Source organism: Homo sapiens, chromosome 3 (genome assembly GCF_000001405.40).
Source record: "Homo sapiens chromosome 3, GRCh38.p14 Primary Assembly".
NCBI lineage: Eukaryota > Metazoa > Chordata > Mammalia > Primates > Hominidae > Homo > Homo sapiens.
In genome coordinates, this window is record NC_000003.12 from 30,808,219 (window position 1) to 30,825,127 (window position 16,909).

At 36.9% G+C, this 16,909-nt stretch overlaps 1 protein-coding gene and 1 pseudogene across 3 annotated transcripts in view, besides 1 other annotated feature; both read right to left on the reverse strand.

Moving 5' to 3' along the window:
• GADL1 (glutamate decarboxylase like 1) overlaps positions 1-16,909 on the reverse strand; it is a 168,465-nt gene that overhangs the window by 82,022 nt on the left and 69,534 nt on the right. The window lies entirely within an intron of this gene.
• FNBP1P2 (formin binding protein 1 pseudogene 2) lies at positions 460-1,478 on the reverse strand (annotated as a pseudogene).
• Positions 9,096-9,265: an enhancer, noted in NCBI's record as "experimental_69439 CRE fragment used in MPRA reporter constructs". NCBI's record gives its function as "activates a minimal promoter by MPRAs in K562 erythroleukemia cells, with activity observed for both the introgressed and non-introgressed 3:30858891 variant alleles {active_cell/tissue: K562}" and the evidence as "EXISTENCE:reporter gene assay evidence [ECO:0000049][PMID:34662402]".

Below are 16,909 nucleotides of genomic sequence, written 5' to 3' on the forward strand. Positions count from 1 at the left end.
GGCCCAGTGGCCTACGCCTGTAATCCCAGCACTTTGGGAGGCCGAGGTGGGCAGATCACTTGAGGTCAGGAGTTGGAGACCAGCCTGACCAACATGGTTGAAACCCCATCTCTACTAAAAATACAAAAATTAACTGGGCATGGTGGTTGCATGCCTGTAATCCTAGCTACTTGGGAGGCTGAGGCAGGAGAATCGCTTGAACCTGGGAGGCAGAGGTTGCAGTGAGCTGAGACAGCGTTACTGCACGCTGGCCTGGGCGACAGAGCAGGACTCTATCTCAAAAAAAAAAAAAATGAGGATATCATTCAAATGTGAGATTTCAAGTGCTAAAGTATAGGTCAATACAAAGCGTCTGTGTAAATGGGTGCATTTTGAGCTTGTGGAAACCAGCAGACTATTTGGATGTCATCTAACATACAGATTCTTACATTAGCCCACTACTTTTATGAATCTTTTGCCTTTTTTGTCTAAAATGCTGATGTATGAAGTTAGCAAGTGGGAAAAATAACCCTCTCTTCATTTCTCTAAATGCAAGTCCACCCACTACTTTTATCTTTCTCTTTTTTCTTCCCTCACTGTTATAAATATTCCCTCTTTCTGGCTTTCAAATGTATACAACATGTTACAAGTCCTATGATAAGAATGAGAGCAGGTCATCAAAATAATTCGAAAACTCACCATCTTTGCACTTATGTTCACCTCACTCTCCTGTGTCTGTTCTTCTGTGTAACCTCTGTTTTCCCAGTCTCATGCACAGTGACTAAACGGTGGTGGAGAGTGTGCTTCATATACTCAACTCTACTGTAAGAGCTATTCACTTATAATTGGGAATTTGCCTTCAACTTTAACCAGCCAGGACTCATTTCCTGAGTGTCTACTCACAATATTTCTGCATTTTGCTGTATTTATGTTCACCTATAATCCAAAGCAGGTATTCTTTCATTTCTGACATCTTCAAATAAACATCTTGCATTTTTTCCTATGGCATGTCTTTAATTCATTTCTTTACTTGGATTTATTTAGTTAGTTCATTTTCTTTCTGCTGTAGATTTTTCATTCTTTGTCAGAGTAGAAAATATTTAAAATCATCCGGTTTGCATACAGCTTGGAGAGAGAACTTATTTTTTATAAAGGGTCACAATTATTTTTTGAATTTACCATCAAATCTGAATTCCTATTTGCCTTTTCATCTGCAATTTGAGAGGCTAATTCAAGAGGCAGACACATTGTGCTCCATTGGATGTTTCAATGTAGGAGGTTCAAATCATGATATAAACGCTTGCTTCTATTACCAGTTCTGAATCATTTTTTGATATTGACTCAGCTATCTTTCCCATTCCAGTCAAGCATTTTCCAATCACTGGTATCACCTATAGATCAATCTCCACTCAAATCCTCAATTTGTTCTCCAATTCTCACTTCCTTCCCATGATCTCTTGTACTTTCTGGAAGATGTTTTGTACAGAAGTTTGCTGATACTTGTTTTAATAGTTTAGAGGTGGGATTGTAGAGAACTTTCATTTAAGTTCATATTTTTATATTACTTGGATTTATTACAAGTATATATTAACAAAAAGTGAAATTTTTAAACACACCTTTTCCTCCAAAAAATCATTGCATAACATTCATACTGCAAGAAGGGTCTCTATGCATATTCTGTGGGGATATATACATATTTTTTGTCTTATTTCAATTTAAGGAGCATGAGGCTATAAGGAGACAACAATCTTGCTCTAATATTTTCTCAAATATTCTGAAGTTTATAAGCTATGTAATGAAGTTTGCTGATACATGAGGTGCTTGTGATTGAATTTCTGTTCTGGTGAACAGTCTGCCCTGTTCTCTTCTGCCATATAGTGACATGTTTGAGCTTGTTGTCTTGCCATTTTGACATCTCCTTTCCTCGAGTTTATTTTGATCTCCAGTTTCTCAAAAACTGTGTGCTATCAGCCCTTTCACAAACTGGCTTGATGGTCTGCCTGGTTCAAGCCGTTTCCAGAAAGTTTCTGGGTGCTGTGTGCTAGGTTTCCCACGAAATGTGATTTCCTCTCGCTTCAGTTAATTGATATAATGCTTTTAACTTCACAGCTATCTGTGAAAATGTGTTCTTTGAGAAAACATCAGCATTTCAATTCATGAGACTATGAAAGAAAAGTTACATGATATATATAGACAGACAGATACATAGGTAGATATAGAGATATATATATAGAGAGAGAGATCTGTGTTTGTCTTCCACCTTTGGCCCTTTGGTTGATATGCTCTTAAAAATTCTTAAGTTGCTTTACAAAGCTGAGGTCAGTTGCTTCTTTCCTTAATACATTTGACGTTTTTGTGGTGGTTCAAAATCCTCACTTTCCCACTGTGTATATTGCTTTACGTAATAAGTTATCAAAGAGATCCTACAGCCCTGTGTCCAGCTCAAGGCAGAAGGGCAGGAAAGGGCATGTTTGTGCAGTGGGCAATACTCCCCAGGTCCCTCCCATGAGCCCCCAGTCCTCTCTTGGCCGCACCCTCCTCTGGCTCGCCTTTCTTCTCGCTTGTCATCCTAGCTACTCTCTCTCCCAGTCACCCACAGTAGTCTCACAGCAAAATGCGCAAAGGAAATAGCAGCCTTCCACGCAAAATGAGAGGGGGAGGGGGAAGGAAGTCCCTCCCCCTCCTGCTACAAGGGTGGGGCTGGAAACACACCAGCCTTCTTGATAGTGGTTTACGCATTACCAGCTATGAACTGCTAAGAGCTCACAGGCACTGGATCAGTTTATCATCTGTAAAAAACCACTGACTTCTGAAATATTCTGAACACTTAGTGTTGAGATCAAGACTCCCCTTCCCCTTCCAGAAACCCTCTTGGAAGATTCTAGAAAGCTTTAAGTTTCAGGGCTGCAGACCCGTTAGGGATTTTCAGAGAACTGCTAGCATACTTTAGTACAAGATCTGAGATATTTTCTCCCAGAGTGTAAATCTTCCTTAAATACCCCTAACTAAGGGTTAGAATGAGCTGCTTAGAAAATGAGGAGACTGAACTAAGATATTTTTAGAAATGCAACTTAATAATTTTAAACCATAACGCTGCCTACAAGAGAGGAAAGTTGGACTCAGTTTCTTAGAGAATGTGTAAGTGCCTCTATAAATAGTTAAGAAACATTTGATAGTGCAGAGATCACTTGGCAATACCTCTGCATGCCCTACAAGCATTTAAAAATAGTACAATCGGTCTTCTCTCTTAGGACAGATGGAGATTTTTCGATTTTCCCTAGGCAACAATCCACACACCTTCTCTATTAAAGATAATCTAAAACAGTGTTTTTCAAACTCTGACTAGAATTCACAGTAAGAAATTATTTTTAAATAGTGACACAGTATCCGCCCTACCACACATGAAACTGAAAGAAAAATTTCATGGAATAGTACACATTATTACCACATGGAGTGCATACTGATTTTTTCTATTTCAGTCTATTCTGTTCTGTTAATTTAAAGGAAAAAAATAAAAAGCTGGCATGACTTACAATTGACTGTGTAACTCAAGAACAATTGGTACAGTGATTGTTAACCCTGGATAACATTAGAATCATATGGTTTTTTTTCCCCCCAAAATAACATTGCAGGGTTCCTACTCAAGGCCAAAAAACCAGAATTTTCAGTGTGAAGTAAGGGCAGTGTTATTGTTTAAAATGTTTCCCAGTGATGCTAAGGTGCAGCCAGGATTGGAAACCACTGTTCTGATGGGTCTTGATCTCACATTGAAAAATCCTGATCTAGAAGTTTAAGTCAACATTACATTCATGTTGGGACTACAGAAGTCTGAAGTGTTGAGTTTTTCTGATAACATAAACCAGGGTGATTATCTGACTTACTTTTTTGCTACTAGTACCCATTATAAGAGTTTTATTTGTGTGAATACAAGTGAAGAATGGCTTTATTCCGTGCAACCCAAAGAGAATGTGGGTTACATGTGGTCCATGCTGAAGTCTTAATCAGTGGAAGGAAAAAAAGAAGCTCCAAACTATAAAACCTAAGTCTATGGGTTATGTACAAACAAAACCAAGAACCCTAACCTATTCAACCTTTTGCTTTGCTATGTATATTAGTCTGTTTTCATGCTGCTCATAGATATACCAGAGACTGGGCAATTTACAAAAGAAGTTTAATGGACTCACAGTTCCACGTGGCTGGGAAGCCCTCATAATCATGGTGGAAGGTGAAAGGCACATTGCTCATGGCAACAGACAAGAGAACTTGTGCAGGGAAACTCCCCTTTCTAAAACCATCAGATCTTGTAAGACCTACTCCCTATTATAAGAATAGCATGGGAAAGACCTGCCCCCATGATTCAACTACTTCCCACTGGGTCCTCCCACAACACAAAGGAATTGTGGGAGCTACAATTCAAAATGAGATTTGGGTGGGGATAGAGGCAAACTGTATCACTATGTTACTGTGATATGGAAGAAGAAAAACTTGTGTTCAGAAGCTAGTATCAACAGATAGGGGAACTTTGCTCACTTGGCTCTGATAGGAAGAACTGTGATCCTTCCTCTTCTCATATTATTGCTAACTCTGAGTTTCTGGGATCCATTTGAGGCCCTACTTTGTTGAGAAAGGGATTTTAGGTAGCCTACAATATGGTAGGATTGGGAGGAGGACAGGAGGAAGGAGAGAAGAGAGATAGAAGTGAGGGAGGTAGGGTAGATCGGGGAAGAAGAGAAGGAAGGGGAAATAAAAAGGGGAGAATGTGGAACAGAAGAAATGAGGTTCAAAGCCAAGAGAAAATGCAGTGAGGAAGCCTGGAGTGACTGCACACACACTCCATGAGAAGGCACATGAGAAGGGAAACAGAAGAGATTACAGAATTTGACAAATTTTTGGCATATCTGGGAACTGATGCATAGTATAGCAAAGGCATTCAGTAGTCATTTGCTCCTTCTGAACTTCAGGTATTTGCTATGTAACTGTCAACTACATCACCTTGCTTCATCATATAACATTTTCATTCATCTGCAAATTGAGGATAATAATATTGCACTGCAGCCCACCTCCTGGAGATATTTGGATTATTTGTGGCATGATTAAGTAAATGCCTGGAAAAAATATATTTATTAACACAGGACATATTTCTTCAGTCTAGATGGATTAATTGCATCTCTCCAAAATAGGCAGACATATAGAAATGTTCTCTTTCAAACTGGACAAAACAGACACAGAGTGAGTGTTCTGCTTTGGAATGAGGCTGGAAGAGCAAATCTTCACCAAGAGCACAATACTTAACAAAATCAATCTATGTCCCCAGCTTATTGTGATGCTGTCAACAAAGGCATGGTTCCTTCTCAAATAGAATTTTACATTTCAATTTTACCTGTAGCAGTAAGGCCTGTGGCCTACATTTCTTGGAGTTTGAGCATTCTTGAGAGGTCTGGCCTCTGAGGCCTGGAGTATAGGTAGGAGATTGATTTCACAGACAGGAAAATGCTATGCAGGAATGCAAGTTCTGAAACACGAGTTCCCTGGTCGTCTTTGTATAAATCCCATTGAAGATTTGTGGGATATTACTGACATTACTATAATCATGAGCAGTCCTATTTAAAACTATCCTTAAATAGCAGTTAAACATTTAAGAAGTACTTGGCAGAATCTTTGGATAGAACAAAAGATGTAGTGGACAATAGCATTTTTTCAAGGACTTATGATAAAATGCAGAAATGCGCTGAAATGACAAAAAACGTTTCCACTATACTAATGGCTATTTGTTCAGGCAGAAAGAGCCTGTGCATTAGCATGTGGGTTACTCCTCAACATAGACATAACAAGGAAAAAGGAAATTACATTTATCGTGTGCTTACTACTTGATTAACAATGCACTGCACACGTTTGAACATTATCTCATTTAATGTTATATTAGTTTTTCAAAACAGAAGGTGTCTTCATTATACAGATAAAAGCATCAAGGTTCAGAAAGGTTAAATGACTTGTCAAAGTCACACAAGGCAGTCCCAAGCAGAGGAATAATTTGAACACAAATCTTGCTGGGTTTCAAGGTCCATAGGTTCATTTACCCACTGAGAAATCATAGTTAATCCCAGAATTTCCCAGTTCAAACTATAGCCTTAAAGACTGGTAAAGCAAACCCACATCTCTGGATGTTCTAAAACAAGGATGAGCAAGTGAGTACACCTTATATATCCTATATAGGATAGATAGAATCTTATCTGTATAGGGCCAGGTAGTAAATACTTTCAGGTTTGCAAGCCATATGATCTCTATCACAACCACTGAACTCTATGGTTGTAGCATGAAAGCTGCCATAGAGGATATTTAAATGAGCATGCCTGTGTTCTACTAAAACTTTATAAGAACAGGTGACAGGCCAGGTTTAACCCAAGGGCCATAATTTTTAGACCCCATGCTTTAAGACATTCCAGTGAAGAGACATTCCATAAGATAGTCATTTCCAAATTTGTAGAGGCAGAAAAAGTTAAACATTTATATGAAGGCTGCAAAACCAGAGACATTATTCTTGATTAAAAAAAAGAATAAGAGTTCAAGATCAGCCTGGCCAAGATAGTGAAATCCTGCCTCTACTAAAAATATAAAAATTAGCTGGGCATGGTGGTGGGCACCTGTAATCCCAGCTACTTGGAAGACTGAGGCAGGAGAATCACTTGAACCTGGGAGGCGGAGATTTCAATGAGCCGAGATTGTGCCACTGCACTCCAGCCTGGGTGACAGAGCCAGACTCTGTCTCATTTAAAAAAAAAAAAAAATTTTTTTCATTAAGGCAAATTTTTAATCCCTTTTACACAGTAAATACTTAGCCACTAAAAGAGATACTTAAACTGGGAGATAAAATGGCCATGGTTTATTTGCCTTTCTGGATTTGAGAAACATTTTACACAATTCCCATAGAGAATGGCATTTGAAAATCAAGACCCATACTGGCTTATAATTTCTAATTTTCATTGTTCCCCCGATGCCCCAAGAAGAAAAAAAATTTACTCTGTGATAAAACTGGTTAAATTTGTGTTCATTTTCTGTTTTACTGCAAACAGCAAGTGGAAGTTACTAGTAAAGGAACAAAAAGGAAGGCAGGGAGGGAAAGTAGACAGTTCTCTCTGGTCGGTTAGGAGGAGGGCTATGTGATGACATTTACGATTCTCTGGCACAATTCTAGGTCTCCAGGTATGAGAATTATGGTTTCCAAACCAAACAAGAAAACCGTTGTCTGACAGATTGCAAGTGTCCCGAAGGGAACAAGAGAACCAGATGTATTTAGAACAACCATGACTGCAAATCCTGGGGGAGAGTGACTATATCTACAGAATTTCTGTACAACCTTGGCTGAAAGAGGGAAAGTGTAATGAGAAAAACCTATAGGCAAGAGTCTGGGGACCGAATTGAGTTAGGTGGAGATTTATAGGTCAGTTTAACCCGACTGGCTGTGGAAATGAGTTAGAATTAGCAAAATCATCAGCATTACTACTTCATTTTGTATAGGTTCCAAAGGGGATTAAACAATCAGGTTTTATCTTTCTAAATCAATGTTTTCTATTTCTGTACACTGTTACGGCTTTACAATTCAGTTTTAGGTGGGAAACAGGGTTGATCCATTACCTGCCATCTTGTTTTAGGCACACATAAGCTGTGTGGTTAAAAGCATGGATTGCGGACTAAGCATGACTGACTGAATCCCAGTTCCATCCTTTATGAGCTTCATGGCCGTGAGCATGTTATTTATGCTTTCTGTATTCAGGTTCCTCGTCTGTACAGTGGGAAGGGGGAATAGTCCCTACCTCATGGGATTTGATATGTGGATTTAATGGGTTACTATATTTATCCACTTGTTTTATCTGTTTATTGAACTTGCCAGGCCTGCACTGGACATGAGAACAGGTAAGGGAGCCTCTATTTCAGTATAGATGAGAGGCTAATGGCTCCACCATTAGAGGAATTTGCGATATGTACTGAACAAATGCTTGGCTAGAGAGGAGACCCCTAATGCATCCTGGAAAAGCAGAAAGGCCCCCTGGAAGAGTTGAGGCTTGAGCCTCAACTGTTTCATGAGAGAAACAGTAGGACTTAGGACTCAAGTGGGCAAAGAAGAGTTTCTGGTTTTCCACACAGAAGGAACAACTTGGCTGTAGGAAAATAAATGCATTCTTAATGTGATGTTAAAATCCCTCCATATGTGATCTGAAATTGCTTCCAAGCCTCATCTCCCAGCACATCGTTCCCTAGCCCCAGACACCTGGCACATGTCATTGTCCAGATCTGACTTTGCTCTCCCCAAGACCATATATTCTTAATTTGTTTTCTTTTTTTTTTTTTTTTTTTTTTTTTTTTTTTTTTTTGAGACAGTCTTGCTCTGTCACCAGGCTGGAGTGCATTGGCGCTATCTTGGCTCACTGCAACCTCCGCCTCCCAGTTTCAAGCAATTCTCCTGCTGCAGCCTCCCGAGTAGCTGGGACTACAGGCGCATGCCACCATCCCTGGCTACTTTTTGTGTTTTTGGTAGAGACAGGATTTCACCACGTTGGCCAGACTGGTCTTGAACTCCTGACCTCAGGTAATCCACCTGCCTCAGCCTCCCAAAGTGCTGGGATTATAGGCATGAGCTACCACACCTGGCCCACATACTAATTTCTGACAGTTCAGTGTTTGTCAGAAATCAGGGGATAACTGTATTGTATAGCATCTTAGGGTGAAGAGTACCTATTCCTGTCCCATATCCAATCACTTATATAGTCCCCAAGCCTATCACTGCTCAGCATACCCTCTAAAAAGTCAGCATGGGCTGACATACAGTGCCCATACCCCAGTGACCTAAAATGAACCGTAGACATTTTCTTTCTCCCCTGCCTTACAAAATCCATGAACCCATTACAATGATGAGAGACAATATGTCTTCTCTATAGTCTCGTGTAGCCTGGCATGCGTGTCTGTTTTTGGTTCTAAATAATTATGATAAATGTCCTGAATGTAAGTGACAACCTTTCTCAAAATTGTCTAAAGCTGTAGAGGCATTGAGAAAAATAAATCCCCATACAGGGAGTGTTAAACTCCATGAGTTCATACTAATTTTATTGTTATATTGTAAATCCAATATCAGATTCTAGAATATACTTAAGATTCCAGCTCTGTGAAATTAACCTTGCCACCAATCATGGGTAAGTCATTTCCTCAATCACAAGCTTTTTAAACAAAGAAGACATTTGAAGAACTCTACTTCCCTAGAGATTTTCCTTTTAGATTTCAATTGAACTTTTTAAGTGCAGGGGCCCTATATCTTTCAAAATTGGGAAATGAAATCTATTACAGTGGCTAATCCTCTAATGCTTGATGTTGCTACCTCACAGGCAGAAAACAATCTTTTCCTTATTACATATAAATTTCTGGTTCACACTAGCTCTGAAAACAGCTATGTATTTCATTGCATTTCACTACCTCTCTGGCAAGTTGAATATTGAAATGGCACAAAGATTCTGACAGTGCTATAAATGAATGCACCAGTATTTCTAGAACTGGATGTCGAGGGTATAATCTGCACTATGGTGCTGTCTAAGACTGATAATAAAACAGAAGAATACTATTTCAAGGTAAGATCAAAAGGACATATAATAGTCATATGTGCTACTTTGACAAGGGCATAATGAAATGTACTGGGAAGACAGACAGTAGCCTTACAAAAGAGAAGTGGTGAACTTCTTTCTGTGATAACTGCTATGGAACTGGAGATACGGAAGATACAATTCTTGTTTTTTTAGTTTCTGGACTACATTTAAAATTCGGCAATCTGCTAGTAAATTGCCACAGCAAGACATGGAAGATATTCATTGTAGACACAATTTAGCCTCCTTGCCCAGTTCACAATGACCCCTTACTTCCCCTCTCATCCATAGACATGGGCATAATGAACCCTTGCTCCATCCCGCTGCCCTACCAATTGGACCAGAGGCTAAGAAGACTAGAAATGTGGAATTAACACTGAGAGATTCTAATTTAGCTTTGCTGGTCTCTTGGGCAGAGATGTAAACATTATACTGTGGAGGTGCCATATTTTACCTGTCGTGAGAACTTAAAAGCAAATATAATTGTTAGAAGTTTTAAAATTATATCACTTTGGATGTACAAAAAGGGAACTTTATTTTTCTTTAAAACATTTCTGATTTGGAGCCACCATTACTTCTAATGCATAATATTTAGTCTGGTCACTTTCAGAAAAACTCAAATTGACTAGTCAGACCATTCAGAAATAAAACATGGTTGATTAAGATTTTTTTTTCCTGAGAATAATTTCTGCCTCCCCTTGTTCTCTATTTCATGTTATTGTGAATTTCTCAAATGCTGCTGAGAAGAGTTGCCAGTTAAAATACAAAATACCTCATTAAATTTGAATTTCAAGCACATTATAAATTTATAAAAGCCATTAATATAAGTATGTCCTATGTAACATTTGAGATATACTTACACTAAAATATTGTTTAATGAAAATCAAATTTAACTGAGCCTCCTGTGTTTTTATTTACTGAATCTGGCAACCCTACACTGAGGTGTGAAATTTCCTTGTCCAATTTGGTCACTGCAGTTGTGTGTTGAGCTCCACCCTTAGCTCATCCCAAGATGGTCTTCCCACCTTGCTGCTTATACCTGAATATCTGCTATGGCCTCTGAATGTCAGATCACTTGAGGCCTGCTTCTTGCTTCATGCCCCTATTTCCAGGCTTCATTGTGTCTTGTTCATGTTCAGTCAGTTTTGGATGATCCTCCATACCAGCCATTCTGAAGCCTGCAGGAACACAGGGGGCTATCCCAGGCACTCTTATGCCTAGATAAAAGGCCATCTCTAGTTTCTGCTTGAACATATTGACGTGGGAGATTGAGGGGGAGGCTTCCCACATTGAGTTTCACCTAGAATTCGAGCTGAGAGGAAAGAACCTATTATCATTTCATTTACAGGGAGGTTCTATTCTTTCTTGGTGCCCCGGGTTTACACTTATACTTAAGAATTGCTTTCTCTTCAGAGAGTCCTCTTCCCTCCCCAACTCTGAGGCCTGTTTATCTACTTGGGAAAGAGGGTGTGAACTAAAAATGGTTTTTTGTATAAGATGTCCTTCCAAGAATAACTATGAAGTGTAAAAGGTAAAAATTTGTCACTCTTTATCTCTGGTTTCATTCTGATCATTGAGTACAATAAAAAGAACCAGAATTTCATAACACATCTTAAGCACTTGGGAGGTTAAAATCACTTTCATAAATCAGCCTTTGCTCAGAGTAAACTCAGCCTTTGCTCAGAGTAAACTAACATGGTTATTACAGATTAATTGGAAAGTAATTTAGATGAGCACACTCCAAAATGGAACTTAAGGAGCTGAGCCAAAACTGCCCTCAAATGTAAAATAGCATTCTTACAGAACAAAAACATAAATCAGGAGAAAATGAATATTAATTACATAAATTTAATAAGGACATGAAAAATAAATGCAAAAAGTGATTCCTCATGGAAAGAAAAGTAATTGGAAAAAATTTTAATTAAAAATTAAGATTTCAGGCAGGAATACAAGATAAAAATGAGATAAAAATAAGGACATGGCATATATTATGCTAAGATCTTTGAAAATCTTAGCAAAATATATTTGAGAAAATATTGTAATGGACTCAACTAGAGCAGAAAATTAATAGTTCAATGAAAATGTAAAAACTGAACACAGAATTATCTACCCCAAAATTTCTGAGCAAGAGTTTTATAATTAAATTTCCTGAACATTTCTAAAAACTGATGCCTGTTATTGAAATTATTTTTTTAAAGAAGTTTTAAAACTGCACTCAAAATACTATCCAACCAAGATAAAAACACAAAGAATAGATCTATATTATGTACATGGAGGCAAAAATCATCCACTAATATATTTAAAATAGTTTACTGCAGTAAAATGAGGTTAATCAGTAATACAGAAAATCTGTTAACATAAATTTAGTTTAAGGAGTAAATTGATAGAATTACCTTATTTGATAATAGAAAGGTATGTGGTAAAACTCAATACTAGATAATTTCTCAAGATTTATAAAGAATGTATAACTTAGGGCAACTTCAATAAAATCACAAAGACAAGAATGTCTTCTGTTTACCGAACATATTTTTGAAAATTCTATCAGTCTATTATAATTGTAACCAATATGAAGCTAGATATTAGAATGAAAAAATGACAATTTATACTGATAAAATCATATTCTTGGAAATGCAAGAGAATAACTTAAAATCTCTCAGAACCAATTAGCAATCTGGTGAAGTAGTTAAATATAAGTAAATATTTCAAAAGTTTTTCTTACATCAGCCTTAGCAGTTAGAAGGTTTAAAAAATAAAATATAAAATGTATAAATAACCCTAGCAAAACATGCAGGATCCTCTATTAGAAAAGCCATTGATGGGGTTGTTTTTTTCTTGTAAATTGGAAACAACAGGTGCTAGAGAGGATGTGAAGAAATAGGAACACTTTTACACTGTTGGTGGGACTGTAAACTAGTTCAACCATTGTGGAAGTCAGTGTGGCGATTCCTCAGGGATCTAGAACTAGAAATACCATTTGACCCAGCCATCCCATTACTGGGTATATACCCAAAGGACTATAAATCATGCTGCTATAAAGACACATGCACATGTATGTTTATTGTGGCACTATTCACAATAGCAAAGACTTGGAACCAACCCAAATGTCCAACAATGATAGACTGGATTAAGAAAATGTGGCACATATACACCATGGAATACTATGCAGCCATAAAAAATGATGAGTTCATGTCCTTTGTAGGGACATGGATGAAAATTGGAAATCATCATTCTCAGTAAACTTATCGTAAAGACAAAAAACCAAACACCACATGTTCCCACTCATAGGTGGGAATTGAACAATGAGAACACATGGACACAGGAAGGGGAACATCACACTCTGGGGACTGCTGGGTGTGGGGAGGCGGGGAGAGAGGAGGGATAGCATTAGGAGATATACCTAATGCTAAATGACGAGTTAATGGGTGCAGCACACCAGCATGGCACATGTATACATATGTAACTAACCTGCACGTTGTGCACATGTACCCTAAAACTTAAAGTATAATAATAATAAAGAAAAAAAGAAAAGCCATTGAAACTGAAATACTTACAAGTAAACTGATATAATGTGTGTCTTTTTTTTCTCTTTTTTTATACACACGGCAGAGGAGGAAGCAGTAGATATGAAACTGGTCATGAACTGATCCCTACTAAAACCATGTGATGGGTTCGTGGAAGTTCATCTCTACTTTTGTACATATTTGAAATTTATCATAAGAAGTTAAAAAGAATCTTTGTGTGAAATAAGATCTGAATAAATATTACTAGGTTGGAAGGCTAAAATCACACAAAGATGTTAAGTCTTCTCAAATTAATTCACAGGTTTAATATAAACCTTAGAAAAAATCCCCAGTGGAAGTTTTTTAAACTTAAGTTTTTGAAAACTGGAAGAATAAATAGATGATAATAAGTCATTTTTTAAAAGAGTGAATATAGACTTACCCTACTAGATGAAATATATTCTGAAGCTATAATGATTACAGCAAGGTGGACTTGGCAAAACAATCAACAGCTGTTTGATTCAATGAATGGGATTATTTCAGAAATGGAATATCAAGTTATCTTCTTGCCTTATCCAGTCTTCTGACCCTTAATTAAAATTCCTCTACTTTTCTCCTCCAGTTTATACACTAATGCTATGTTTTATTACAAATTATTTTCACTTTAGACTATTCCACATTTCCTGTAGTTGATATGCAGGTTTTGTACAATATTAGGTTTCACTTGGTACACCTAATGGGATAATTTGCTCATATGGAAGTCTGGTATCACTTGGAAACTTTCTCTATAGATGAATAGTTAACATGTGTCACAAAAAGATGACAAAATTCCACAACAAGAATAGATGGCTGGATGATATTTCCAAATACCAATATCTCCTAATTGAAGAAGACAGGTTTAGCTTCCCATGTTTCTGGCAGTCACTGATCACCTCAGTAACCACTGTTGTAAGAGGTGTCTGGATGGGGACTGAGATGAGGGAGGAGGTGTTGCAAATTTTGTTATAGGAGGAAAGCTTCTAAAAACATATATGGACTTTCATGTAATGCAAACTGCTGAGCTGGGCTGAAGGTGCTGAATTAGCTGCTTTCGTGGTAATGATGGCCGTGATTAAAGAAATATTCTCAAGCTTCTTTAAACCCAAGGAGCCTCTGTTTTTTAGATCATAAGAAGGGGTAGAAGTGGATAAAGAAAGCAAGATGCTGGTTATATAAGCAAAATATATTAATCTATACTTATCAGCCTAGATATATATTAATATGCATCTCAAGAAAATTTTAAATGATTTAATATTGGCTGGTGTTTTACAACTAATTTTCGCATTCTTAATTATGCTTGACTCTGACAGTGTGATCATATAATACTTTTAAAATATGGAAAGAAAATACCAGTTAACTGATATGTCACCTCTGCTACAAGTTTCTTGACCAGCCTTTTCAGCAGTGTTCTCATTTTATTTACATTCTCCAACTCCTGCTTTTTAATCATTACATAACTAAATAATAGCATATGTTTGCTTAAAATGTTACTAACCTTTGACTTAGGGTAGGGAGCATGTCTTATTCACTGAATACGCAGTAGTCTCTACATATTTTCAGGTTGAATGAAAGGCTGAATAAACAAATGCTTATTTCCAGTGGCAGTATTGAACAGCTGCTAATTATTAAAAATTCAGAACGTGGCACATATCAATTCTAATAAAGGAATAGATGAATTAAAGACCTTCCCACTGAATACAGCCAAGAATCCTGGAACAAAATATAAAAACTGCATCTAATGAAAAGCCTAGCAGACCTCCACAAGACAGGGATATAAACTACTGGGAGGTACAATGAGGGAAAGGGAACTCAGGGAGGTAAGCTAGAGACGTTCCTACTCCAGGACACTTTCAGACTCAGGGAGGACAGCCAAGACAAGAACCAGAATGGTGAGAAGGGAGGGAACAAAGATTGAGGTCCTGTGTCCACCAAGTGTGGAGACCTGGAGTATTATCACTTCTCACTAGCAGATATCCTAAAGACTTCAGGAAACAAAATTCAAAAGTATTCATTGTTATTAAGGCCAAGAAAGAAATCCCTTTTCTTGTTTGGGACCCAAAGGTCTCCACCATGAAGTGGAGGTACAGGCTATACCCTGAAGATCCAGAAAAATGTCAAGCATTGGTCCTGAACTGCTAATTCCCTCAGATACACATAAAAATGAAAATAGAGATTCCATTTTTATAAGAAAGATCAATTCAGGTCTCAAATTATTCCTAAGGGTAAATTTTCAAATAAAATATTAAGTAAACCACCAAAGATTATAAGGTACCTCTCTAGACAATAGGAGAGCCAGGAATCATGGACACAAGAAATAGTAATAACACCAAAGGGAAACTAGATATTGAAGTTAACAGAAGAGATGGTAAATCTATGCTTACAGTGTTCAAGTATATAAAAGCTAATCTTAAAAACGCCAATAACCTAGAGATGACAGTATGTAGGTAAAAAGAATCCATTAGAAATTATAAAGCTAGAAAGACAAAATAACTTGAGATGGCTTTCGCAGCAGATTAGATACAGCTGAAGAGAAAGAATTTCAAGATAGGTCAGAAGAAACTGTACACAATGAAACATGGAAAAACAAAATTAAGGAACATACAAAATAGAGAGTAAGAAGAAAAGAAAGGAAGAAGTCTTAATATGTATTTAATTGACATGCCAGAAAAGGAGAGAGAAATGAAAGCAGGGATAATAATTACAAAACGTATCAATCTACAGATTCAAGAAACCCAGTAAAGCTCATGCAAGAAAAACTAAATAAAATTCATATTTGGAACATCCTTGTTAAATAGTAGAAATATTTTTAAAGCTTGAAAATTTTAAAAGAAGCCAGAGGAAAAAAAGTCATTTTATCATTAAAGGAATGACAGTTAAATAGCAGATATTTTAACACAACAACAAAAGGCAAAAAGAGAAAAAAAATTAATTAGAAAAAGAAAAATATCACCAAAGTATTGAAAGAAAATTACTGACAATCTTAACACCAGCAAAAATGAAAAACATTTTTAAAGAAGCAAAATATAACAATATGCTACCATTTGACCCACAAGAAAATTCCTAAATGTGGTCTTCAAGAGGAAGGAAAATTATTCCGGATGGAACCTTAGAGATAAGAAGTAAAGATATGTGCACAAAAATACTCATAGCAAATTTTTATAAAAGCCTTGAAATAAATGCCCGTCAACAATAGAATGAATAAGGAAATTGTGATATATTCACATAGAATAGTATAAAAGAATGAAAATAATCATCAGATTGTGCCACAAAATGGATAAATCTTAAAGACATAAGCTTGAGCAACAACAAAAATCCAAGCACAAGAAAATACATACTATATGATTCTATTTGTATAAAATTCAAAAACTAAAGTAAATTATATTATTTGGTATAACTACAGAGCAAAACTAATAAAAGCAAGCAAGAAAGTATCAGAAAGAAACACGTGAAGATCTCTGGGTTTCTGGTTATGTTCTTTATTTTAATCTGTGTGAGAATGACCTGTTCACATTATAATAAATCAAGCTGTTCATTTATTTTATGCATGTTTTTATATCTATCTATCTTATACTTCATAATTTTAATTTTAAAGTAAAGCAAACAACTTTCAAATTCCCAACTAGCCTACCAGAGAATGAACTACCAGGGAGGACATTGAGTTCCTTTTGCAATTAACAAAACCCTCTAAATTATGATTTTCAATCAGCATCATAATGACCTAAAGGTATGTTTGCTGTGCAAGGGTACATGCACATGAGTGTGTAC